Source organism: Homo sapiens, chromosome 7, assembly GCF_000001405.40.
Source record: "Homo sapiens chromosome 7, GRCh38.p14 Primary Assembly".
Lineage (NCBI taxonomy): Eukaryota > Metazoa > Chordata > Mammalia > Primates > Hominidae > Homo > Homo sapiens.
The window spans coordinates 131,077,395-131,105,113 of record NC_000007.14 but is presented as its reverse complement, the minus strand read 5'-3'; the positions used below and the strand labels follow the sequence as shown (position 1 = coordinate 131,105,113).

The following is a 27,719-nucleotide window of genomic DNA, read 5'->3' as shown; positions in this document are numbered from 1 at the left end:
TGCCTAAGGGCCCCATGTTTGTGTGAATAGTAGTAATGTTTGCCTGAGGGCCAGCTTGTTTATGTGGGTACATTTCTACTGTTAAGATTTTTGTCTGAAAAGCTTTGCTTGTATAGGGGAGGAAAATCGTGGTGATTCTTTAAGGCCTGTAGGCGACCTTTTCCAGAAGTTTATTGTGGATCAAGGAGAGAGGGGATCTCCGTAATTTGAAGTGAATAGGTTCTCTGGAAGTTTCTTGTTTTGTTTTTGAGACTTGAGCATTTCTATAATGTGAAGGGGAGAGTCCGGAAGAGGCAGATATTTTCCAAGTATTTACATGAGCAACCACAAGAGTACTTTAGGTTGCTGGATGCGATACAGTTGTGGTGTGGTCACAGCTGGATGTACCCAGAGGTGCGGTACAGTACAGAGTAGCAGAAGTTCTGCCATTAGCATTTTGGAGAAAAAAAAAAACAACTAGTCTGGAGTAGAGAAACTTTGCCGTTACATCTCTTTTCTCCCCTTAATTTGTTTGATTTGTCTCCTGGTCAGATAAACTGTTGGTGGGACGTTTAGATGTGGGAGTAGTCCATTTCATTAGTATTTTCTGTACAGAGATTCCAAAGAAAACTCATAGTAAACAGAGGTTTCTCCCTGAAAACAAATGATACTAGCTACAGTGTATTTGTGACCAGTATGTATTATTAAGAGGTACCGTGTCACAAAGAACTTTATATTCCTGTTGATTGCTGTCAAATATTGTTACCTCTATGGCAGGCATGGGTATATTATTTAGCATACTTTAGGGATTGGTTTTCATATTACTTGCAGTTTTGATGAGGAAGGCTTATAGACCTACTCAGGCAAACCTGACTGGAACGTGAGTATCTGTGGTCTGGTGTGGAAATAGCTCTCTAGCCCCATCTCCCTCCTCCCATTGTCCACCCCCATCCTCCTTACCACGAAACACATTTTTCACCAGCATTGCCAAACCACTTGGGATTCCTGCGCATGGCTTTGCTTAGTTTGCTCTTCTGCTTCTTGGATACCTCCTTCAGGAAATGTTCCCTGATTTCTCCTCAGAAACCATTTAAAAAATACCCTCCCTGCGTCATCTCTGCATTATATATATGCTTGTCTTATTGCATTATATCACAGCATATCTCATTGTATTTGTTACATATTGGGCACCTCAAAGGTGAGAATGGTGACTTGTTTATCTGCACATCACTGGCACACAGTAAGCACTTAAGTTTATTGCATTGGTCGCAATTACATTTACTTCCATTTAAGTTGCATTATCTGTGTCGGTGTTTTCCTGAATCACTCATCTTCATTCTGAACTGTCCTCACCTCCTTCTCTGCTGCTTGCTACCAGGCTAAAAACACAGCTGAAAGCACCCCAAGACAAAACTTACACAGAAAATACACAATAATAGTAACACATTATCAAAGAAATAGGAAGGGGCAAAATATCAGTTTTTCACTTGTTTGCGAATTTCATCCTTCACTGGCCGATTGGACGGTGTGAACTTTCTTGGTTACTAATATATGCTGGAGGAGATGCCCAAGGTTGTTTTTGTTTTTCGATTTACTTGGGAAGGAAGAACTAGTACTACATTACCAGTGGACATGCTTTGATGTGCCATAACAGAGCACAGGTGCTTCATCACATTTCATTGCTGTAATTTTCAGATTGAGTATTACAGAGGTATTTGTAGAGCAGCACTGTCCCATAGAGCTTTTGGAGAGGATGGAAATGATTTATAAATTTGTGTTATCCAGTGTGGTAGCCACTAGCCACTTGTGGCTATTGAGCACATTAAGTGTGACTGACGAACTGAATTTCTTTTCTTTTCTTTCTTTCTTTTTTTTTTTTTTTTGAGACGGTGTTGTTCTGTCACCAAGGCTGGAGTGCAGTGGTGCAATCTTGGCCCACTGCAACCTCTGCTTCCCAGGCTGAAGCGATCCTCCCACCTTAGCCCTCCCGAGTAGCTGGGATTACAGGGGCCTGCCACCATGCCTGGCTATTTTTGTGTTTTTAGTAGGGGTGGGATTTCGCCATGTTGCCCAGGCTGGTTTTGAACTCCTGGGCTCAAGCAATCTGCCCGCCTCGGCCTCCCAAAGTGCTGGGATTACAGGTGTGAGCCACTGCGCCTAGCCAGAATTGAATTTCTAATTGATAAATGTAAATAGCTGCTAATGGCTACTGTATTGGATGGCACAGTTACAGAAGATATGTCTGTAATTGACAGGTCATCATTTAGGCTAAGGTATTCTGCCTTTAAAAGTCTGCAGTCACAGAAGATATGTCCTGTAATTGACAGGTCATCATTTAGGCTAAGGTATTCTGCCTTTAAAAGTCTGCAGTCATCTTCTAGGGCTTAACACCATGCTTCCCGTTCATAGATTATAAGGTGCTTAGTGGGTGATATTTTTGGCCTATGTGGGGCCTTCATATTATGGAGCATTCGTGTGTTCTGTGGCTTTTCATGTAGTGCGTGTGGTCTTCCTTTTTCAGGAGCAGAGTAGAGTGATTATTAGTAATTATGATTATGAGTAATTATTTACAAATGGATGTGAGCCCTTGGTGTATACACTAAATGAAAGTCCTATGAGTTGAATCAGTACTTTTCTGAGATGCATTGTGAGGGGAAGGAACTGTGCTTGTCTTGCTGACCATTGATCTCCAAGGCCTAATATGCTACTTGACACCTATCAGTGCTCATAAATATGTTTTGAATGAATGAATGAATGTTCAACTAACTTAAGCCTTCCAGTTTAGCTTCAGAGGCTGTAACATGGAGCTGAGAAGAGAAGTAACGAGTAACTACACCAGTGGCTTTATAGTTCTTCCAAGGAACGCAGTCTCTCCAGGGGTACTATTGTTAGCTCTGTGACTCTGATTTCTTTCTGGTAAGATATGTAGCAGGAATTGTTACACTTATTTGATGACAGATTGAAAAATAAAGTCACAAGAAGATTTGGTGCTCAGGTCATACAGAGAGAGTTGGAAGTATACATCAAATGGAAGTAGTTGTTTCTATTGCATTGTGCAGTCATCCATGATAACTTCTTTTTTTTTTTTTTGAGTTGGAGTCTCGCTCTGTTGCCTAGGCTGGAGGGCAGTGGCACGATCTCAGCTCATTGCAGCCTCTGCCTCCCAGGTTCAAGAGATTCTCCTGCTTCAGCCTCCCTAGTAGCTGGGATTACAGGTGTGCGCCACCACGCCCGGCTAATTTTTGTATTTTTAGTAGAGATGGGATTTCACCACGTTGGTCAGGCTGGTCTCGAACTCCTGGCCTCAGGTGATCTCCCTACCTCGGCCTCCCGAAGTGCTGGGATTACAGGCGTGAGCCATGGCACCTGGCCCATGATAACTTCTTCAGAGGAAATAAAATAAAATAAAATCATGCGCTGAACTATGTTAGAAAGTTTGGGTTGTAAAATCCAAGTTTGTTTGGTAATTGTGTATGTTAATGGAGTCTGAAAAAAGGACTGAAGATATTACCTCTAGTGTGGCAGGACATTGACAAAACAACTTAACCATGAGAAACAGGAATGGAAACATTTCTTTCTTCAGCTTCCAAATCTCATGTATTCTGTGATTTTTTTTCTATGGTAATCCTAGCACCCAAGTTACAAGCTTGTCAAATGGGATATTTAAAATGTAAATAGAAAATGTTTAATTGTGTAGATAACCCCTACTAGGCTTTGAAAAAAAAAATATATATATAGTATCAGACACATCAAACATCTGTTTAGAATAAGAGCACTAAGACCAAAAATTGTAGATTTTATTTCATGTAGTAGATCCTATATTGGGGGTTGATGATGTAGCCGAATATTTGGTTTAGTACCTTTAAGAGGCGATAAACATACTCTGCTATCTATACTATGCATCAGACTTAACCTACTTTGTGCTGCTATGTGTGTTTGGATTTTAGGCCTGTCTTCATCCACAACAGCTTGTTCCTAGGATAAATGTTGTCTTCCTATCATTCTGCCACTACATGTTCCACAAATGAAAAGTAATTTTATCATAGAGTAAGTCAAACACAATTGGAAATACAAATCTGTTGTCTTAAAAAAAAGTCATAGAATACATTCCAAGATAAAATGGGAAGACTTCTCTTTTAAGCAATTCCTAGTCCTTTAGTCCTTACTTTTCAAATACCTTTGGTATGAACCTTTTGGGTGAGGCAAAAATATAAAAGCCCCCGAATCGAAAACAAAGTATCAACCACGTGTTCGTCAATTCCTGCTGTTGCCCTTGAAACCAAACCAAAACACGAGCATAACAAGACAAAACCCACCACTGCTAATAGCAACAAAAGTTAACCCAACCAACCACACAGAAAGAGCCTGTGAGATTTGAGTTGTCATTTTTGTAGCGAGGTCAATCATGTGAAGTCTTTTTTATTTAAAACATTTTTTATTTATCTTTTTCAAGACGGGGTCTGGAGTGCAGTGGCATAATCACAACTTACTGCAGCCTTAACCTCCTGGCCTCAAGCAATCTTCCCACCTCAGCCTCCCCAGGAGCTGGTACTACAGGCACATGCTACCGTGCCTGGCAAATTTGTGTTTTTTGTTTGTTTGTTTGTAGAGACAGTGTTTTGCTATGTTGCCCAGGGTTGACTTGAACTCCTAGGCTCCAGTGACCCACCCCCTCGGCCTCCCAAAGTGTTGGTTGACAGGCATGAGCCACTGCGCTTGGCCAAGTCTTCTTTTTTAGGTATTAAATGTAAATTACTCATGACAAAAATACTTGCCTGTATCTGAGTAGATAGTAATGATATTAGAATTAATGCTACAAAAGATCAGGATGTATTTTTGCCTAGAAGATCCTATGGGACTACTTGGATTCAGGTATATAGTTTAAGAATCATTTTGAAGGTCACCAACTTGTTCGAGTTTGAGGATGTTACTGGCTTCACTTCTTTCTCATCAGTGGAGTGGTTGGATTGAACTCTGGTTCTCAAACTTTGGTGTGTATCAGAATCACTGAAGAACACACATTATTGGGCTGCACCCCAGAGTTTCTGACTCAGAAGGTCTAGGGTGGGCCCACTAATGTATATTTCTTACAAGTTTCCAGGTAATGCTGACGTTGCTGGTCAGAGGGCCAAACTTTGAGAGCCGTTGGGATAGACAGTATCTTCTAAAGTTCTGTGATTTTTTTTTTTTTTGCCTGTTCCCCCCACCCCCATCACTTTTCAAGTTGAGCACTGATCACTGCTTGATTTCTAAAGGATTATGTCATTTAAAAATTGCTGTATGGCAGACTGAGTTGTAAAAGTTTAAAATGGATTAGATTAATTTTATTTTGAGAATTTCTTGAGAACTCCATATATTTTCCAAAAATAATGAGTCTGTTAAAACTCAGATTGGGTATTCCTACTTAGCTAAATTAGAAATCCCCAGTTAAAATATATTAAAGTATTTCCGATGTTACTAAATGACAAAACTATTTGCTACTCCTTAAACCTAAATGTTGTATTAAATCTAACCAAGTGCCTTTTATTTATTTAGAAATGGTCTCACTCTGTCACCCAGGCTGGAGTGCAGTGGCACAATCATAGCTCATTGCAGTCTCAACCTCCTGGGCTCAAGTGATCCTCCCTCCTCAACCTCCTGAGTAGCTGGGACTGCAGATGTGTGCCACCACGCCCAGCTAAATAAAAAAAAATGTTTTTCTAGAGATGGGATCTTGCCTTGTTGCACAGGCTGGTCTCGAACTGCTGGGTTCAAGCCATCCTCCCGCCCCAGCCTCCCAAAGTGCTGGGATTACAGGAATGAGCTACTGTGCCTGAACTATTTAGTTTTAGAAATGGAGTCTCGCTGGATTGCCTAGACTGCCCTTGAACTCCTGGGCTCAACTAATCCCCCCACCTCAGCCTTCTGAGTAGCTGGGACTACAGGTGCATGACATGGCATGTGGTCTTCTCTTAATATGCAGCTACAGAGTACAATGCAGCACATTATATAGTTGTGGACTCACTAGATAAAATGATTTTCATGAGACACAGTTTTTTCTAGACAAAACTCCACGGATTTGGGTCCATAATAGACTGTGACAGCGTTAACTTGGACATCCCCTAAAGATAACAGCCTCACGGAAGAATCATGGTTGCGGGAAGGAAATGTCCATCGGGGCATGGATGAGTACGTCAGGGCACAGTCATTCCTGATTTTGATGACCTTGGAGAACAGTGGTGGCTCTGTAGTTTCTAAATGAGGGGACTGTGGGGCTGGAATCTGGTAGGAAAGGGAGTGGGGTTACTAGGAGACTTGTCTTCAAGCAGCCCTTTCATAGCAAGCACACCGTTCTTAGGGTGTATGTTTATGGGAGAGGGAAGATCTTGGGGAGGCGTTGGTGGAGATTCCAAGGCATTCTAAGAGGACAGGTGGCGCTCTGGAAGCATTCCATGTTAAACCAGACTCCCAGGTGCTGAGAATCAGATGGACTCAAGTTGAGTCCAAGTGAGGTTTGACAGTATATTCTAATATGACTAAATGTATTGGAGAGAAAAGAAAAGTTAAGACTTTGAGGAAAATATATATAACTTTACCTGAAAGCAGAGAAATAAAATAGAAGAAATTGGTGAGCAGGGAATGGGAAGACAAAAATGGAATGTTGTAAGTTTTTAAATGTCCTGAAACTTTTAAAAGACATATTAACTATGTCAAGATGAGTCAATAGCACAGGGTTCTTTGTTAGAAAATAATAAATGAATAAGTTTTCCTTTTTGTTTCTGGTGAATACTTCGCAATATCGCCAGGTGCTATTATTTGACTCATGTCAAATGCCTTTCCAAAGTTATGCCCAGAATTCATGCAATGCTTACATTTTTAGATTGCTTTATGATCGTTACCTTGTTTAAATCAAGTTTCTGGAAGGCACACATGACCGTTATTACTAGGCGTGCTTTATGGATTAGGAAACAAATCATTTGTATAGCGCAGACCACGAAGCTGGGTTGAGACCATGAGACTTCTCTGCTTTTCACACTACCAGTTTTAGTTTTATCTTGAAATTGTATATTGTCTCACCGCTTTTATAAGAGGATTGAGCCTTAAAATCTTAAGAGTTGATTTGGCATACGCGTAATTGATTTGAGCTATGTTTCATGGACCCAGCTTTAGATTTTGATCACCTCTTTCTCTTTGAAAAGAGCTACGTGTGATTTGCTACCCAGATCTGTACTCATTTCTTGACTCAAATATGTATCTGTGACATAATCTTCGTAGTTAAATCTGTGAAACTTTCAAATCCTTCAGACTTGACAGTGTGAGGCTGGGGTTGGCAGTCTGCTTAACAAGATGCTGGGACCACCTCTGAATTAGTGAATCAGGGAGCTGCTGTGTGATCCCCTCCTCCAGGCTTTCTTGGAGTTTGTCTCTGCCACTTCCTCAAGCCCTTTAAAAAGGCTCCTGTGCTTTAGAGAGTTAGGATGTTAATGACCGTTCTTTTTTCTTGTACTTTATTAAGTACTAGTCTTACTAGACTAGTGCTTAAGTGGCAGTGTCTGCCTTTGCCTTCTCCCATCTCTTTATGCTCCTTTCTTCCAACTTCTCACGTTTCTGTTTCTCGCACGGCCAGGTGTCCAGCATCCCATGCTGACTTGCGGTTGGCCAATCCCCTCCTCGTAGATTTCCTCCACATTTTCCTCTTCCTCCTTTTCCTGTGGGAAGTTCTTTTTCTGGGCTGTGGCTGGTCTTACGTAGTTCGGTGGAAAAAGTATTGAGGTAGTGTTAGATACTGTGCTGCACCTCCAGGAGTGTCCAATCTTTTGGCTTCCCTGGGCCACACTGGAACAAGAAGAACTGTCTTGGGCCACACGTAAAATACACGGACACTAACGATAGCTGATGAGCTAAAAAAAAAAAAAATTGCAAAAAAAATCTCATAGCGTTTTAAGAAAGTTTGTGAATTTGTGTTGAGCCACATTCAAAGCTGTCCTGGACCACATCTTGGACAAGCTTGCTTACAGTATTTCTGCTGGATTTCTGGTTCCAACTAGCTATGGAACCCTGTGAGAGATTTGAGTCTCCGCTCATCTGAAATGAGAGGTTGGATGGAGAACGGTCTTTCCAGCCCTAAAATGCTGTGATTGAGATTATTCATACGGTGGTATGGTTGTAGACCCTCACAGGAAACTTCAGCATTTTGAAAGGTACCCAGTAATCAAGACTGGTCTCAGTGTAGGGGTGATGCCTTTGAGTCCCCAGGTAAAACGATCTTGGACTCCTTAAATTAGATTGCCTGCCTTGTGGCCCGCCCTCTTCTTCAGGAGTTAGGGATGGGTCAGGAGGGCACCCTTGTCTTTATTGTGATATCTACGTTAGAATACCCGAATATTGAACCTGGATTACACTTTGGAAAAATTGCTGACACAGGTGTGAAATATTCGGCTGCTTTTCATCTCCATGAAGGAGGCAGTGGCCTTCTAAAGTTGTTCTTTCGGTGATGGTATTTAAACCACTAGGAGAGTTTCTGGGAACCTGCTTCATGCCTCTGTTAATTCTTATACAACTCATAAAAAATGCCACTTCAGATCTTTCTCTTGCAAAATTGTGCATGGCCTGTGACCGTAAGTGCTAGTGTCCTATTTCTAGGGACATTTTTGTTAGTACTGAATCTTTTTGTTATGTTCACCAAGCTACTTATCTGTCCATTGTCAAGGCCACTGACAGTTGTTTTGCTGTCTGCTTTTGTATTGATGTGTCATGCATTCATTGCACATATTGTTTATTTTTTAAAATCTGTGTTTATCTTTTTTGTTTGTTTCCAGAGAGATTAGTTATTGCTATGCTAAGAACATTTATTTAATCCTTTGTCCTTAGTGTCATTCATATTCCTTTAGCTATTCCTATTTTTTAGCTTTTTAGAACTTTATAATACCTACTTTTTATGGGCTCACTTCCAAAATAATTTGTGGTGACTCTTCCATTTTTAGCGTGTATTGCCTGAAAATTCAGGTATTTAATAGCAAATGAAAGTTTTTTTTTTAAATGTTGTTTATTTTGGATTTTATCTTTGAAATCTGTAGTTTGTTTTATGCCTCTTAGTTAGCTTACAAAAAGTTACTCTGCTTACACGTCTCTTATTTTTATGGAAAAAGATATAACATCCCCCTTTGCTCCCCCTTTTAAAGGGTTCTAAATTGAGATTCTTTCTGCTACTAATTTAATTCTTCTGAAAAAGAAACATAGGGGTTTGTTCTTTGCCATATATCTTTGTTACTGCCTAACAAGCAGTTTGGAACAATGACTTTATAGACTTAATCAGTACCCTGTTTAGTCATTTCATATCATCTGCAGTATGTTTTTGAGATACATATTTTTTTAAAAAATAAAAGATCATTTGGGATTCTAAACAACAGAAATATCCAAACAACAGAATTGCTCTAAAGTTTTAAAAGTGATCATCTGTATGAGAAATCATGCCTTGCAATAACTGAAGAACATTTGCTCTTCTGTGGGAAACAGTGGCGGCACGTCCTCGGCTCATTCTTGGTCTGAGTGGTCCAGCCACTTACCCCAGAAAGCGGTCCTGCATTGTGGAGGGAAACCACAGTGGCTCCCGAGAATCCATTGGCAATGGATGCATTCTGACCACATTTATTGTTGTTTTTGGAGGGTAACAGTTGTTTTAAAGCACTGAACTGTAATTGCATAAATACTCATCTTACTTCCTAAAACGTGTTTGTTGATCATCGTGCTCTTTTGGAGTAAGAGCTGTAAGCTCTGGTAAGATTACTCCTCAGGAACATGTTGGGTCTTGGACATTGCAGGTCAGTCATCTAGGGCAGCAGTCTCCAATCTTTTTGGCACCAGGGACTGGTTTGTGGAAGATAATTTTTCCACGGATGGGTGGGGTGGGGGATGGTTTCAGGTTGATTCAAGCGCATTCCATTTATTGTGCACTTTATTTCTATTATTATTACATTGTCATATATAATGAAGTAATTATACAACTCACCATAATGTAGTATCAGTGGGAGCCCAGAGCTTGTTTTCCTGTAACTAGATGGTCCCATCTCGGAATGATGGGAGACAATGACAGGCCGTCAGGCATTAGACTCTCGTAAGGAACCCGCAGCCTAGATCCCTCGCATGTGCAGTTCACAGTAGGGTTGGTGCTCTTATGAGAATCCAACGCTGCTGGTGATCTGACAGGAGGCGGAGCTCAGGCGGTGATGCGAGTGATGGGGTGCGGCTGTAAATACAGATGAAGCTTTGCTTGCTAGTCCACTGCACACCTCCTGCTGCGTGGTCCAGTTCCTAACAGGCCACAGACCAGTACCCATCTGTAGCCCGGGACTTGGGGGCCCCTCATCTAGAGTATTCTGGACTGTGGACTCTGTGTTCCTTTTCATGCATTGGAATCTTCCTAGTCCTCAACAGGGAGCCTAGGAGCAGGCACAAGGAAACATGTCCCCTCTGGGTAAACTTTCTGTCCAAAATTAAACAAAACAAACAAAAAACCTGAATACGTCTGGAATCTGTCTGAGTGTTTTGTGGATGCAGGCCCACCCTGGCCCTGGCATATCAGCAAGCCAGTTGTGGGCCATTCTTTTCCTCCCTGTTTATTGTCGTTTTTTCCTGCGTTCTTTACTCACTCAGTTTCCTTCCTTTTTTGTCTTTTTTGGTTCTTTTCCGTTTCTTCTCTTTTTCCTTTTACCTTCTTCCATTCCTTATATGGATAGCCTAGGAAACATCCTACACTTACCATAGGCATTTTTTTTAGCCTGATTAATGGCAGTCCAGAACTAAAGACAAATTTTACTCTGATATTATGGTCTGTAAAATCGCATGCTGGTGCAAATTATTTATTTGTTTGTTTGTTTGTTTGTTTTTTGAGACAGAGTTTCACTCTTGTGGCCCAGGCTGGAATGCAGTAGGATGATCTTGGCTCACTGCAACCTCTGCCTCCTGGGTTCAAGCAGTTCTTCTGCCTCAGCCTCCCAAGTAGCTGGTATTACAGGCATACACCACCACACCCAGCTAGTTTTATATTTTTAGTAGAGACGGGGTTTCACCATGTTGGCCAGGCTGGTCTCGAACTCCTGACCTCAGGTGATCCACCCGCCTTGGCCTCCCAAAGTGCTGGCATTACAGGCATGAGCCACCGTGCTCGGCCTGGAGTTTCACTCTTGTTGCCCAGACTGGAATGCAGTGGGATAACCCTGGTTTACTGCAACCTCCACCTCCTGGGTTCAAGCAATTCTTCTGCCTCAGCCTCCCAAGTAGCTGGTATTACAGGCATGCACCACCACACCTGGCTAATTTTGTATTTTTAGTAGAGATGGGGTTTTACCATGTTGGCCAGGCTGGTCTCTTGAACTTCTAACCTCAGGTGATCCACCCACCTCAGCCTCCCATAGTGCTGGGATGACAGGTGTGAGCCACTGTGCCTGGCCCGGAGTTTCACTCTTGTTGCCCAGGCTGGAATGCAGTGGGATGATCTCGGTTCACTGCAGTCTCCACCTCCTGGGTTCAAGCAATTCTCCTGCCTCAGCCTCCCAAGTAGCTGGTATTACAGGCATGCACCACCACACCCGGCTAATTTTATATTTTTAGTAAAGACGGGGTTTCACCAAGTTGGCCAGGCTGGTCTCTCGAACTTCTAACCTCCCGGATGGTCCACCCACGTCGGCCTCCCAAATTGCTGGAATGACAGGCGTGAGCCACCACACCCAGCCAGTGCAAATTATTTCTGAAGAGTTTAATATGTTTATATAGCATATTTCAGGTTGAATGGAAAAGATATGTGAAATGTATCACTTCTCAAGCTGTTTTTGATATTTAAATGGGCATTCAAATAGGTTTCAGATTGATGTTTAAATTTTCAGATTTAAATAGGCATTCAAATAGGTTTCAGATAGGTGTTTAGACTTTCAGATTTAACTAGGCATTCAAATAGGTTTCAGATTGAAGTTTAAAGAACAGTTTGCCTAAATTTTGGTAATAAATAACCATATAGAATTTCAGGGTCCTTTCTACGTATGGAAATTTTTGGTAAACAAAGATATTGTTTGGGTTAAAGTAGTATTTTTAAATTTCTTAAATTATAACAGAGTTTGGTATGTAAAAAATGTGGTAGAGTCAAATTTGTGTTAAATAGCAACTGTGACCTATGCCACTCTGAAGGAGCACAGTATATTCTAGCTGTAAGGGCCTTGGGAGCACATTGAGTTCAATCTTCTCATTTTATAAATGAGACAATTTACTTAAACTTACACACCTGGTTCACAGCATAGCGGACCACAGTTAGGTCTTCCACCTCCCTGTCCACTGTGCTTTTTGGGCAGAAGATAAGGTTAGGAAATTTAGAAGTGAAGTGGACAGAATAGCATGAGAAGACCATTATATTTGAGTTCTCAAGCAAGCTTTGACTTTAACTTCTGAGTTACGAGATATTGGATTAGGTGTGTTTAACCTCTTTGGATCTTAATTTTCGGAGGGTTGTATTTTTAGGTCCTTCTGAATTCCAATCAGGTGAAAAAAAATGAAATAGGTTTCAATTCTTCTTATTGTAGGTTCTTGCAATTTCACTTTAAGTAGTACCCCTATTTTTTAGTAGCATTCCTGTTTTTTTCTTGTTAGTGAATCAACTTTTCAACACGTGTTGTTGTTAGACACAGGCTGTCTGAGTCAAGATGCTAGTTGCTTCTGTATTCAGATGTCTCTAGCATTGTCTTGATTAACTGAAGTTAAAACACTTTAAAAGGCAGTTCTTCCCTAGTTTCAAACTGCAGGAATAGTCCATGGACACGTTATTCAGAGGTACTCTTTTCAAGTGGTTTACACTTTCTTACAGTCTTCAAGAGTAATCTCATCATGTAAGTAAAATTTAAGAGAATTTTGCTGCTCCAACTTCTAGAGTTGCTTTATTTATGGTTGTGGAACAGGTTTTTCCATTCTTAGTAGGATAATCTGGCATTGTTTGTGTCAGAGAGAAGACAGTTGTAACAATGTGGAAGGATAGGAAAGGTGAGTTTAAAGTATTGAAGAAAAGCTGAAAGACTGGAGGTTTTTTTCAGAAGACTCTGCCAGTGAGCTTTGAGACCTTTCCCCCATTGCCTAGCAGTAGTTCCCATGCCCTTAATTGTTTTAAAAAAGCCCATTCTAGGCCGGGCGTGGTGGCTTACGCCTGTAATCCCAGCACTTTGGGAGGCTGAGGCAGGAAGATTGCTTGAGTCCAGGAGTTTGAGACTAGCCTGGGCGACATAGTGAGAGTTTGCCTTTACCCAGGTGTGGTGACCTGTGCCTGTGATCCCAGATACTCAGGGAGGTTGAGGCAGGAGGATCACTTGGGCTTGGGAGGCCAGGGCTACAGTGACCTGTGATCATGCCACTGCACTCTAGTCTGGGTGACAGAGTAAGACCCTGTCTCAAAACAAAACAACAAACCATTCTTTCAGTGAACACTTTTTTAATACCTATTATGTGCATAGCACGAGTTAGGTGCTGTGGGAATTACAAAAGAATTGTTCATATAGGGCTTTTTGCTGTAGGTGCTTCCTCTCTAGCTGGGTTCCCAGTACTTAGGCCATGAAATGGTGAGGTGAAGTAAATGAGTACGCGCATAGAGTGCTCTAGTTGAGAAGGGAGAAGGGACAAAGCAGTAGGGGAAGACTCTAGGGAGCCATGGAATCTGAGCAGTTTGAAGGACCAGTAGTTAAGAATAGCTAAAAAGAACTCATTTTAATTTTCTTTTGGGAGAATGCAAGGGAAGTGGTTGGGCTAGGTTAGGACATAGGCTTGGGAGTTGGGAAAGAACCACTGTAGGTTTTAAAGTGTAAACCAAACAGTGACAGAGGCAGATCTCAATCAGTTTAGAGGTTTATTTTGCCAAGGTTGAGGATGCACCCCCGAAAAAGAAACACAAGTCACAGGAGGACCTGTGTCTTGTGCTTTTTCTGAAGAGGATTTTGGGAACTTCAATATTTAAAGTGGAAAGAGAAAGCAGGAGGGGAAGAAAAAAAAGGGAGAGTGGGTAGGCAATGAGGCAAGTGGTTACATTCTTGGGAGGCTCTGATTAGTACTGCTCAGTGAATCTACATTTTTACATGTGAAAAGAAAGGAGTGGGGGAAAAAGTCAATTATGCATTCGTCTTGTGCTCAGTAAATCTACATTTTACGTAAGATAAAGTAAGCATGTGAAATTACAGCTGTTTGGGAACAAAAGTAAGGCAGTTTTTTCGTGATTCAGTTTCCAGGCTTAACTTTCCCTCTGGCATAGTGAGTTTGGGGTCCTGAGATTTTATTTTTCTTTCACAGTGGCAAATGAGGGAGACCCCTGGAAATAATACAGCCTTTTTGCCCTAGCTTTTTATAATATTTTGAAAATTTCACGCTTAAAAAAATAGTACTGTGAGCACCTGTATACCCTGCTTCTGTATTCACTAGTTAACATTTTGCTGTACTTGCTGGCTTGTTCCAAGTGTGTGTATATTTTGAACCATATGTGGTAAGTATGCATATTTGTATTATTTTGCCTCATCATTTGAATGTAAGTTGCAGACATCATGACATTTCACCTCTAAATACATGCTAAGGAGGACTGTTTTCTGTATATACCTGCAAAACAGTTGTCACACCCACAGAGTCTAGCACTGATGCAATAACCTGGCTTAATATATAAAAAATATTTAAACATGAAGGTGTGTTTATTGTCTTGGGACCACGAGTATTGAATAAATTGGTGTGGCGAGGCTAGAGCCACAGAAACTGGTTTACACATATTTGAAGAGTCATATGTAGCCATAAAATAGAAAGAGGAAGCTCATTGTATTCTGATCTGCTATACAATAAAATCCTGAGTAGAAACAAGGCATAGAAGAATGTAAAAAAAGAGAATTTATAAACATTTGCATATATATAGATATAATAACTCTGGAAGGATAGAAAAAGAACCATAATATTCCATGCCTTTGAGATAAGGCATCAGGTAGCTGGGGGACAGGTGGACTTTTCTCTGAATATTCCTTGTTACCTTTTATGTTCTATTTTGCATTTTGAACTATGTGAATATATTACTTATTCAGAAATAAATGGTAAAGAAGCACGCATAGGCTTTTGTTGTTACCATTATTAGCTCTGTAACGTGTAGGAGCATACTTCTCTTTACAGCCTAAAGAGATTTGGAGAATGAGACGTGAGGCACAGACAATGGAGAAAAAATTTTATTATTTCAGTTTTGAAGGGTGTTTTAGTCCATTAGAGCTGTTGTAACAAACTGTTGTAGACTGGTTGGGTTATAAACAACAGACATTTATTTCTCACAGCTCTGGAGGCTGGGAAATCCAAGATCAAGGTGCTGGCAGATTCAGTATTTGGTGAGAGTCAGCTTCCTGGTTCATAGATGGCGCCTTCTCCCTGGGTCCTCACGTGGTGGAGAGAAGAAGCAAGCTCTCTGGACCCTTATGAGGACACTAGTCTCATTCATGAGGTCTCTATCCTCATGACCTCATCTAACCCTAATTACCTCCCAAAGACCCTACCTCCTAATCCTATCATCAGGGAGTAGGGTTTCAGCATATGAATTCTGGGGAGACACAAGCCTTCAGTCCGTGACAAAGGGAAATTTGCTATTTGTGCCACTTAATGGACTGAGATACTCATGGTGTAAGAAGGTAGTTTTTCAGGAGCTGCTAGTGGGGAGAGTAGGGGGGGCTTGATGGGAATCTGATATCCAGGAAGTATGGGAATTTCACAAGGGAGAGCACAAAGGAAGGTGTAGTAGAAGTACAGAATGTACTTCTGTACATTATGTCCAAATCCCAGAAGTATGACTGGGATTTGGACTTTGCCTTGTTGATGTATTAATACTATTTTTTTTTTTTTTTTTTGAGACAGGGTCTTGCTCTGTTGCCCAGGCTGGAGTGCAGTGGCGCAATCTTGGCTCACTGCAGCCTCCGCCTTCCAGATTCAAGTGATTCTCGTGCCTCAGCCTCCAGAGTAGCTGGGATTACAGGCGTGCACCACCTCGCCCAGCTAATTTTTTTTATTTTTGTAATAGTAGAGACAGGGCTTTGCAAGGTTGGCCAGGCTGGTCTCAAACTCTTGACCTCAAATGTTATCTGCCTGCCTTGGCCTCCCAAAGTGCTGGGATTATAGGAGTGAGCCAACATGCTTGGCCTATTCATACTATTTTTGAGGACAAAAGATGGTGTGTTAAAAAAGCTGCTGAGAGAAAATGAACATTTAGAAATAATGTCTGCCTATTTGTTCAATTAAAAAATCATAATGTTTCTAATGCCTAATAATTATTTTTTAAAAGACAGGTTCTTAGATTTTACTGAAGATTATGTGAAGGTTAAAGTAAAGCCTTATTGAGTAAATGCTAGAAATCTGTTATTAGTAAGTTATGTCTATTTGATAGCAGTTTGATTATTTTGTGTGATAATTTTTATATAATTATATGATGAACTTCTGTGATAGCTACCCTTTAAAATTACTTTTTCTCAGTGTTTTGAGATGTTACATGAAAGGTTAAAATTAATTTTGGAGTTAACTCAGCCACAGTTTATTTTCTATTTTGTTAATGATTAACACGAAATTATCGATTGGTACTTAGAGCCTCTTCTCTTGAAGGCCAGTGTTTGTTAATTAGTGAGTGTTGAATTGCTCCCCGGGTTTAGTAGGCATCTTGTGGTTAATGGAGACAGATGGTCTTCCCTTGATAGATGCTTCTGGAAAGTTAACATTCCAGCAGTGACGGTTACATTCCTGTCAGGCAGGACTTCAGGAAGAGAGGAACTCCGCACCGTTTGATCAGGATTCCCAGGTGTGACTTTGCAGGTGAAGAAATTTGATTTTATCAATTCATTTAGGGTGGATGGAGATTGTGAGACTGAGTAAAGCTATCCAAGCCAAGCAAGCTTACATGAGATTCAATTCTCCAGTGTATTAGTTGGCAGTGGAAGATGTGCTGTAGCCAGCTGTAGACTTATTGAAAGGATAAAACTTGGATCAGAATTTTGTTGGTGAGCATAGAAATAAGATGGGAAAGAACTGGATATTTTCAAGTTGTCTGTCAAGCCATGTGGATTTGACAGAGAACTCTCTCCCTTCCGGGGCTATCCTGTCTAAAAAAATGGAGCCCAGGCTGGGTGCTTTGGTTCATGCCTGTAATCCCAGCACTTTGGGAGGCTGAGGCAGGAGGATTGTTTGAGCCCAAGAGTTCAAGACTAGCCTGGGCAACATGACGAGACCCTATCTTTACAAAATTAAAAAATTAGTCAGACATGGTGGTGAATGTCTGCAGTCCTAGCTACTTGGGAGGCTGAAGTGGGAGAATTGCTTGAACCCTGTAGGTTGAGGCTGCAGTGAGCTGTCATTGAGCCACTGCACTCCAGTCTGGGTGACAGAATGACCCCCTGTCTCAAAAAAAAACAAATATATATATATATATAGTTACACACCCACACATTTCTGAACAATGTTTGGTTTCACCTGTTTTTTATCTTTATGTAGCAGAATCATACTGGATGTATTGTTCTGTACCTCTCATTTCACTCAACGTTAGGATTTTGATATTTTAACAGTGTTGATACATGTAGCTCTAGGTGATTAATTTTCATTGCTGTTTAGCTTTCCGTTGTATGAATATGCCATAGTTTCATAGTATGAATATGCCAATTTCTCCATTCTGCTGTTGGCTGATGTTTGGGTTTCATGATTTTTGCATTGTGAACAGTGCTGTGAACACTTGTAAACTTGTTTCTTGGAGAATGTGTGCAGTCTCTACAGATTGTATTCTCTCTTTATTGTATTACATAAAGAGAAATAATTTCATATGTTCCTGTATTTACTCTAACAGCTGGTGTTAACATGAGAATATTAGTATGGAATTAAGGTCATTTATGAATGTTGTTAAGTGAATTCAGTTGATTCCAAGATCTGTCTTGAATAAAAGCAACATTTTTCATAAATGACTATTTTGCACTTAAAAAATATTGAAAAATACTAGAAGATAGTAACATCCCATAATATCACCACCCTCATTTGGTAATTATAAAATTAGGCTGTAAAAATTTTGTTTTACTGTCAGTCCTATTTGCCTCTGCCAAAACACACCCCAACCGCTTTACTTAGGAATAGTTTATCACCATTACCAATTATGCTTTTCACCTTTACTTTGTGTTTAGAAAAGTCATGTCTATACATTTGCATATATTATTAAAGATATATAGTATGTAAATATATTTTTTAGACAATAGCTTGTAAATGCAATTTAATTTTTTTTCCTCTTCTTGCTGAATTTTTTTTTTTTTTCAAAATCGGGATATTGGCCAGACGCGGTGGCTCACGCCTGAAATCCCAGCACTTTGAGAGGCTGAGGCAGGCGGATCACCTGAGGTTAGGAGCTCGAGACCAGCCTGGGCAACATGGCAAAACCCCGTCTCTACTAAAATACAAAAATTAGCTGGATATGTTGGCGTGCGCCTGTAATCCCAGCTACTTGAGAGGCTGAGACAGGAGAATCACTTGAACCCAGGAGGCAGAGGTTGCAGTGAACCGAGATTGCGCCACTTCACTCCAGCCTGGGCGACAGAGCAAGACTCTGTCTCAAAAAATAAATAAATAGGTCGGGCATGGTGGCTTATGCCTGTAATCCCAGCACTTTGGGAGGTCGAGGCGGGTGGATCACCTGAGGTCAGGAGTTCGTGACTAGCCTGGCCAACATGGTGAAACCCCGTCTTTACTAAAAATATAAAAATCAGCTGGGTGTGGTGGCACGCACCTGTAATCCCAGCTACTAGGGAGGCTGAGGCAGGAGAATTGCTTCAGCCTGGGAGGCAGAGGTTGCAGTGGGCCGAGATCGTGCCATTGCACTCCAGCCTGGGCAACAAGAGCAAAACTCGGTCTCAAAAAATAAATAAATAAATAAATAAATAAATAAATAAATAAATAAATAAAATTGGGATATTAACACTGATACCATAATATTATCTAACTGTAGACCTTATTCAGATTCTGTCAGTTATCCCCAAAATATCTTTATAGTAAGAAATTTCCAGATCATATGTTACATTTAGTTAACCTGGAACAGCTTCTCAGTCTTTCTATGTTTTGTGACCTTGACATTTTCGGAGAGAACTAGGCAATATTACATAGTGTCTTTCAACAGTGGTTTGTTGTTTCCTCATGCCGGTATTGAGGTTTTGTGCTTTCCGTAGAAATGCTACATTAGGGACACTGCGTTCTTCTCAGTGCATCATATTCAGAGGCACCTGATATCTATTTGTCTCACCATTGGTGATATTAACTTGGATCCCTTGGTTAAGGTCAGGTTTCTGTCAGATTTTCCGGTTTCTCTGGTTTTTCTCAGGAAAGTTACTCTCTCCCTTATTTCCAATAATAATTGTCTTATGGAATGATATTTTTAGATTTCGTTAATGTCCTGTTACTCCTCACACCTTTAACCCTAGGCTTTTAAAATCTATTGATGCTTGTGTGAATCATTTATTCTTTCCTAATGGTGATTTTTAAAAGTCCATCATTTCTTCTTCATTTATTTATAGTTGACTTTCTTCCCTCAAAAAGAGCTTTCTCTTCACTCTCATTTATTTCAGTGCATATTCATGGATTCTTATATTAGTCTTAATGTGTTATCATTATGTATTTTGATGCTTAAATTATCCCAGATTTGGCCAGTAGGAGTTTCTTCAAGCTGCCTCCTGTGTCTTTTGACACATCTCCATTGTTCTTTGAACATATTCTTTCTTGTGCATGTAGAATGTTTCTCATTGCGTACCTTCTCTGCCTCAGCCCTAGAATCAGCCGGTTCTCCAAGAAACTCTGTATGAGAGTGTCTGTTTCTCCATAGCCTAGCCAAGAGTGACTTTTTTTAAAAAAAATTTTTGCCAATTCGATAGTTGAGAAATAGCATCTCAATGTAATTTAAATTTGTATTTCTTCCACTGTGAGTGGAACTGAACATCTTTAATATATCTAAGAGATATATATGTGTGTGTGTGTCTGTGTATATGAGTATATGTGAATATATATGTGTGTGTATGTATTTTCCCATGTCCTTTACCCATTTTTCTGTTGTTTCTGTCTTTAAGAGTTCTTTATGTATTATGGTTATTACTCCTTTATCTGTGATATGATGCAAATATTTTCTCCCATTTTATCTATTGCCTTATGTTTACAATGGAGTATTTTTGGCCATACAGAAATTAAAAAAAAATTATGTAGTCAAATCGATCAATCTTTCAGTCTTCCCAATTTTGAGTTGTAGTTAGCAAACCCTTTCCTACATCAAGGTTAGAGAATTCACCTTTTTTCCCCCTTCTAGTGGTAGTATGGCTTCATTGCTTTATTTAGATCCCTGATTCGTTTGGAGTTTATTTTGGTTTATGGTATGAGGTTTTCCAAATGAGGTTTTCCAGTGGCTAGCCAATTATTTTAACATTGTATTAATCCATTTTCATGCTGCTATGAAGACATCCCCTTGACTGGGTAATTTATAAAGAAAAGTTGTTTAATTGACTCACAGTTCAGCATGGCTGGGGAGGCCTCAGGAAACTTAACAGTCATGGCAGAAGAGGAAGCAAACATGTCCTTTTTCCCATGACAGCATCATGGAGATGTGCCAAACAAATGGGAGAACAGCCCCTTATAAAACCATCAGATCTCATGAGAACTCACTATCACAAGAACAGTAAGAGGGTAACCACCTGCATGATTAAATTACCTCCTACTGGGTCCTTTTCATGACACGTGAGGATTATGGGAACTACAATTCAAGATGAGATTTGGGTGGGGACACAGCCAAACCATATCAAACATCATTTATTAAATAGTTTTTGCCTTGGTGATTTTAGATGCCACCTTAATAATATACAATACTAAAACTTCATCTGCACTTGGATCTGTTTTTGAACTTTCTGTATTATTCTGTTGGTTTGTCTGTCTATTCATGTGTCAGTAAGACACTTTTCATCATGGAGGCTTTAGACTGTGATTTAATGTCTGGAAGAACTCGGCCTTCCCTCTAGTGTGTTAGTGTTTTCCTGGCTGTTACTGCACATTTATTTTTCAATACAAGGCTCAGTATCAATTGTATGTCTCCATTAAAAAAACTTGGTTTATTTATGAGGATTACATTAAATTTCTAAATTTATGATGAACTGACATTTTTATGTTAACTTGTTCTATCTGAATATAAGAGATGTCTGTGGTTAAACTCTTCATTTGTGTCTTTTTAAGAATGCTTTAAAGTTTTCCTCAGATGTGTTTTATACATTTCTTTTAAAATTTATTCTTAAGCACTCAATTTTCTTTGTGCAACTTGCTTTGTTTCCATTTAATGTATCATATATAGCTGAACAGGTCAGTACATGTTGATCTATTTCATTTTAAAAAATGGATCCATGATAAGTTATCTCTGTGTATCTATTAGTATGGGGGAATGTGAGGGTAGCATAAGTCATAATTTCTATCTTAAATAACTAAAACATAGTTTTGGAAATCAGACATGTTTATTTATGTACATTAAAAACTATAAAAAATTCCTGTGTAGGTATTTAATTCACTTCCTTGAATTGAGCCTAGAAGAAAGTGTTGAATTTAGTTTAGTGGAGAGGACCAAAAAGGACATTCTGTGTGACAATGGCATGGGCTAAAGTAGAGGCAGAGTTTCACATGTCGTGTGAGGTCAGTGAAATAACTGGCTCAGATGGTGTTTCTGTACCCAAAGATAAAGTAAGAGCAGTTATTGGACAACCTCGAGTGCCCAAAGAAAGCATTTGGATTTGTCACACTGGCAGCAGAGGCCTTCTGAACTACTAATCTATTGCAGTGTAACAAATTATCCCCAAATTTATTGGCTTAAAACATCAATCAACATTTATTATCTCTAACAATTTTTGTACGTCAGAGATTTGGGATCACATTAACAGTGTTCAGGCTTGGGGTCTCTTGCAGTGAAGTCAAGATGTTAGTCAGGGCTGGGCATGGAGGCTCATGCCTCTAGTTCCAGCACTTTGGGAGGCTGAGGCAGGAGGATTGCTCGAGCCTAGGAGTTTGAGACCAGCTTGGGCAACATAGCGAGACCCCATCTCTATTAAAAAAATAAATAATAATTTTTAAATAGATGTTAGCCAGTCTTCAGTCATCTTAAGGCTTTACTGGGGCTGGAGGATCCTCTTCCAAGATGGTGTACTCAAATGGCTGGCAAGTTGGTGTTGGTTGTTGGTGGGAGGCCTCAATTCCTCCTCTATGTGGGACTCTTCACAGGGTTGAGTGTCCTTATGACATGGCAGCTGCACTCCCCAGATCGAGCGACGCAAGAAAACAAGACAGAAGCTTCAGTGCCCTTTTTGACCACGCCTTGGAAATCATCCCCCATCACTCTCGCCATGTTCTGTTCCTTAGACACAAGCCAGTAAATTCCGCCCACATTCAAGGGAAGGGGAGCTAGGTTTCACCTTTTAAAAAGAGGTGTGTCAGAGAATCTGGGAACAGATTTTACAACCACCACACTGTCCTAAAGAGGAGTGATGGTGTAATTTTGAAAAGGAAAAAAAGTCTGGGATCCAGACAAAGATTAATCTGGTAGTAATGTCAAAGATGAATGGAAGAAAGGGAGAAACAGAGGTGGATCGTAGTGCTGCGATCTAGCAGTCAAGTGATGGATTTAGTTGGGGGCAGTGAGAGGGCAGAGGTAGGACACATGGAAGGGAGGCAGCAGAATCCCTTCCCTGTGATGGTTGAGGTTTCAATGACTGAGTATGTAGAGAAAATCAGAGCAGTGACTTTGGGGAAAGCCATGGTTTGGGATATGATTAGGAAGGGGAGCTGGATCTGTTGCATTAGAGAGAAAGAAGAGCCAGTTGAGTTCCTGCAGGAGCAAAAAAAGCAGAGTGATCAAGAGCTTCAGATGTTGCAGAATTCGCAGAGAATGATGTTTGAAATGAATGCATTTGCTTGCAAGGTTATTATAGGTGACAGCAGTTTAAGTGGAGTAGAGCAATTTTGGAAATTGGATTATAACATTTAATTCGATGATTAACTTTTTACAAAGTGCTAGAGGTGGGAGGATGAGGGGCTGGTATACCATTCACCACTCATATTTTGAGATCTTACATCTTTCTGCCTCCTGATAGTACCCCCAAGCCTCCCTGGAATGGCACTTCCACTCAGCTCTTGGATTGAGGGCAATGGAGGAGGATTTTACCTCACTCATTTTCAGGGATTCTTTTAACTGCATTGGAAATCAACTTACTTTATTATTTTTTTACTTTACATATTGCTTTTAACTATCATGTGTGCTCTCCCCTAGCCCCACTCATTTCCCTCCCTTTCCCTTCTTCCTGGTCAGTAAGCATTTAAGATCATGATCCAGTACAAAGACCTATTCTTCTCCCTTACCTCCCAACTTCAAGCATGATTCTATTATTCATATGCTTTGTTAACTGAACTTGCAGGGATGCAATTGATATATAAGAAATATAATTAAAATTGCAACCAGCAAATGTAAATACTAAATTGAAAGATTCTTGGTTTTTTAATTTTAATTTTAATTTTTTGTAGAGATGGGGTCTTGCTGTGTTGCCCAGGCTGGTCTTGAATCCCTGGCCTCAAGTTACCCTCTCGCCTCAGCCTCCCAAAGATCTGGGATTACAGGCATGAGCCACCATGCCTGGCCTTATTTAGTATTATTTTATGTTCTGTATCTGTACATAGATTTAATCTGTTTTCAAATTAGTGAAATAATTATCAATAAGATGGAGCCAAAACATGAAAATAATTTTAAAATGTCTTTATGTGACATAACACAGATTTGTGTAAGGATTTGAGGTTAAGTGGACCAAAGAATTGTGTAGTAAAACACTGACAAACCCAGAAATTAAATGCGAGTTTTCTCTGTAACATGATGTGACGATGATTATATTATTATTATTATTCCTGATAGGGTTGTTTTCCTTTTAAGAAGAAATGTTGGGTCCATTTAAGACTTAAACTAAATTACAATAGCATTAATAACTATGGTTCCAAATTAAGAGTAGTCTTTATGCTGTGAAAAAAGAACTATTGTTGATAAGTTCGTTTTAGAACAAAAAGATATGATTGTTCTCAGTAACATCATCTTTGAATAAATAGGGCAGCCTCTGATGATGTAGCCTCGTTTTGCAGTGTGCGTGGGAGGTGAGCACAGAAGAGACAAAAGGGCCAGGGGATGGTGAGAAGGAATAGCAGAAGGGAGGGACACCTGGGTGCCTTCACCGTGGATGGCACAGATCGTAAGTGACTGGAGGGGGCAGAGGCTCTGACTGTGTCAGTACTGCCATTAGGTATTCATTACATAGACATTAAGCTTTTTCTGTGTGTCTGTGGGTGTGAGAGAGGGAGACAGAAAAGAAAGGGAGTGATAATGTATATGTCTCCAGAGATCACTGTGTTGTTTACTTTTACTGTTAAAGATCTAGGGCCAGGTGCGGTGACTTACACCTGTAATCCCAGCACTTTGGGAGGCTGAGAGCAGGTGGATTGCTTGAGCCCAGGAGTTCGAGACCAGCCTGGGCAACATGGCGAAATGCTGTCTCTACAAAAAATACAAAAATTAGCTGGGTGTGGACCCAGCTACTCAGGAGGCTGAGGTGGGAAGATCGCTTGGGCCCGGGGGGTCGAGGCTGCAGTGAGCTATGATTTTGCCACTGCACTACAGTCTAGGTGACAGAGACCCTGTATCAATTAAAAAAAAAAAAAGATCTGGATATATTTGGAGATTCTGTCATGGTTCTTACTCTTGTACTTGAGCAGTTGACAAAAAGTTAATCTGGTTAATTGATACATTTTCCATTTCCTGTTTCCCACTCGTCCTATTCCCTCCTCTTTCTCTCTATGTTCTCTGAGTCTCACTTCAAACCTTGTGGGTCCTAGAAGCTTCCACCGAGTGTCTCTTCCATTTCCAGGGCCCCACACTTGCCGGGCACATTGTCCTACTGTGTGCTCCATCTCCAGAATGTCCTGGGAATCACTCTGTGTGTAGGTTTCTACAACCTGTGTTATTCGTGTCTGTTTGTGTGTTTGTTTTCGCTTCTCTGAGGGAGGAGCCAAGTCTCATCCGTGTAGCTCCACGTGTAATAAATGTGAGTCGAGTGAACGAATGAAAGATTTCCCCAAGCCTTGTAGTGGACGTGCTTGGACCATGGTGGTCCATCAGTGTGGCAGTGGAGTCCCTGAGCATTGAGGATTGGGAGACGTGTGACTAGAGAGGTAGACCACACAAGCCATGAAGCATCTAGGGGTGACTGCAAACTGAGTGAGGCAGGTCTTCTGGTCCTGTGCTGCTCCACACAGAAGGTTTCAGGGATGACTTGGAAGCAAGAAACAGGTAAATGCAGTGCTGCGTGCTAAGCGTTGCAACCTCCTGCACAAACTGCTCTGGGCGCTTCAATTAATTTGGACTGTGGGGGTTGGTCTGGGAAGACTGGCGTTTTGAGTTGAGTCTTCAAGAGCGTGCAGTTGCCCACCAAATGGAGAAGAACAAGGAGCATGTTTCAGAAGCAGCATGTACCACGCTGTAGAGGTGGGAATTGTCATTTTCTTGAGAAGTTGTAATGGAGCTTAAGGTTCAGGGGCGTTGGGAAGTGGGAAAGCAGCAGGAAATGAGATTGGAGAGGGCCATGTGTGTAATGCTGAATGACTGGCCTTTGCCCCATTGGCTGTAGGGAACCACTGGAAGTTTTAAAATCAGGGGAATGGCGGAGATTCACATTTTAGAAAAATGCCTGGCAGCAGTGTGGAAGATGGACTGGAAGGGGAAGACTAAAGAGAATGGACGAGTTAGGAGACTGCTGCAAAGTCCAGGTGAGCACGGGGAAGGGCCTGGATTAGGCCTTGACAGCGGCGATGTGGCAGAGAAGACTAAGTTGCATGTGATTTTGGGAGGCGGAATTTGCGTGACATACCAGAGCTGCAGATAACAGTTGTGGGAGGGATGGAAGAATAGAGAAGGAAGCTTTTTTTAACCTATAGCCATTGAATGGGAGAGTAGAAAGGAAACATTGAGTTTGGTTCTGGACATTTTAGAATGGGGCACCCAAATGGAGAGAACCAGCAGACGGAAACATATTCACATGTGTGTGAATGGGTGAGATTATATAAGGAGAGCTTGCTGAGCAAAACGAGAGAGGGTCATGCAGAGGACTCTGGGACACTCCAACATTTAAAGGGCACACTCGGGAAAAGAGCCATTTAAGAACAGTTTCAAAAGGAGAGATAGCCACAAGAGGTCAAGCTGAGATGAGCAGGAATACGAAGCCATTGGAACAGAGTGAGACCCTGTCTCAAACAAACAAAAACAACAACAAAACTTTTTCAAAAGAATTTGTTGTAAGATTTTTAAAAATACCAAGCACTTTTCAGTATGTGTGTGTGTAGCGGGGGTAAATATATACATAACATAAACTTTACCATTTAATCATTCTTGAGTGGTTTTTTTGGCATTAAGTACATTCACATTGTTGTGCAACCATTACCACCATACATCTCCAGAACCTTTTCACTTTCCATGATTGAAACTCTGGCTGGGCGTGGTGGCTCACGCCTGTAATCCCAGCACTTTGGGAGGCCAAGGCAGGCAGATCACGAGGTCAGGAGTTCAAGACCACCCTGACCAACATGGTGAAACCCTGTCTCTACTAAAAATATAAAAATTAGCAGGGCGTGGTGGTGCGCACCTGTAATCCCAGCTACTCAGGAGGCTGAGGCAGGAGAATCGCTTGAACCCAGGAGGTGGAGGTTGCAGTGAGCCAAGATCACGCCACCACATTCCAGTCTGGACGAGAGTGAGACTCCATCTCAAAAAAAAAAAAAAAAAATTCTGTACCCATTAAACAACTCCCCATTTCCCTCTCCTCCATCTGCTGACAACCACCATCCTACTTTCTGACTACTCTGGGAACCTCATACAAGAGGAATCATACAATATTTGTCCTTTCGTGACTGGCCTGTTTCAGCGCAACGTATTCAAAGTTCATCCATGTTGTAACCTGTCAGGATTTCCTTCAGCATCTTAAAAATATAATTTGAATATAGTTTTTTTTTTTTTTTCAAGAAACCAACTATTTACAACCATTACAAAGTCCTACGATCTGCCACATCAGTTTTACACAGGGAAGGGAATTAGAAGAAGGGAATTCACGTCAATCACAGACATCCTGTCGAGCATGTGTCAGGTGCCACATTGGTTCTAAGTGCTTCATCTAACTCATTGAATCTCCGTAACAATTCTGTGCAGTGACATTATTTTTCTCATTTTACAGCTGAATAAACTGATTTTCAGAGAGTTTATGTAGCTTGTGCAAGACCACACAGCTGGCAAATAACTGAGCCAGGATTCAAATCCTGATCTTCCCAATACCCAAGGCCATGCTCTTTTTAGGACCCTTCAGTTCTCCCTTTAGTCCTTTCTCTAATTATGTCACTCTGAAGGAGTCAAATCTCTTTGCTTTGAATTTAATGAAGTTGTGCTTTAAGGTTTTCCTGGTGTTCAGCAAATATACAAGGCTCCTCATGACATTAAACTGCTCTTATATTGTATTTAACCTTTTAAGAACAGAATCAAGCATTTGCCAAAAGTAGAGAATTAATTGTGTAACTAATTAATTCAGTTCACATAGTTATTTGTTTAATGTTGTTTGATGTGTCTGTCCAACTTAATATTTATCTGGGGTCGTTGACAGAACTACGTTGATTTGTAGGATAGG

General features: G+C 40.7%; 1 long non-coding RNA gene across 10 annotated transcripts in view, besides 4 other annotated features; it reads left to right on the top strand.

Annotated features, from left to right (window-relative positions):
• LINC-PINT (long intergenic non-protein coding RNA, p53 induced transcript) overlaps positions 1 to 27,719 on the top strand; it is a 232,364-nt gene that overhangs the window by 4,812 nt on the left and 199,833 nt on the right. The gene's annotated exons all lie outside the window — the stretch shown is intronic.
• Positions 413 to 462: an enhancer, noted in NCBI's record as "active region_26668". NCBI's record gives its function as "activates an Ori minimal core promoter by ATAC-STARR-seq in GM12878 lymphoblastoid cells {active_cell/tissue: GM12878}" and the evidence as "EXISTENCE:reporter gene assay evidence [ECO:0000049][PMID:35858748]".
• Positions 13,506 to 14,361: an enhancer, noted in NCBI's record as "OCT4-NANOG-H3K27ac hESC enhancer chr7:130775512-130776367 (GRCh37/hg19 assembly coordinates)". NCBI's record gives its function as "activates a minimal SCP1, AML or CMV promoter by ChIP-STARR-seq in naive H9 embryonic stem cells {active_cell/tissue: H9 hESC(naive)}" and the evidence as "EXISTENCE:reporter gene assay evidence [ECO:0000049][PMID:30033119]".
• Positions 26,092 to 26,236: an enhancer, noted in NCBI's record as "145 bp 7:130763709 sequence used in MPRA reporter constructs". NCBI's record gives its function as "activates a minimal TATA-containing promoter with rs6966906 allelic activity by MPRAs in C283T melanocytes and UACC903 melanoma cells {active_cell/tissue: C283T | UACC903}" and the evidence as "EXISTENCE:reporter gene assay evidence [ECO:0000049][PMID:36423637]".
• Position 26,164: a transcriptional cis regulatory region, noted in NCBI's record as "rs6966906 or 7:130763709 MPRA-significant variant associated with a GWAS melanoma risk locus at 7q32.3". NCBI's record gives its function as "allelic transcriptional activity by MPRAs in C283T melanocytes and UACC903 melanoma cells {active_cell/tissue: C283T | UACC903}" and the evidence as "EXISTENCE:reporter gene assay evidence [ECO:0000049][PMID:36423637]".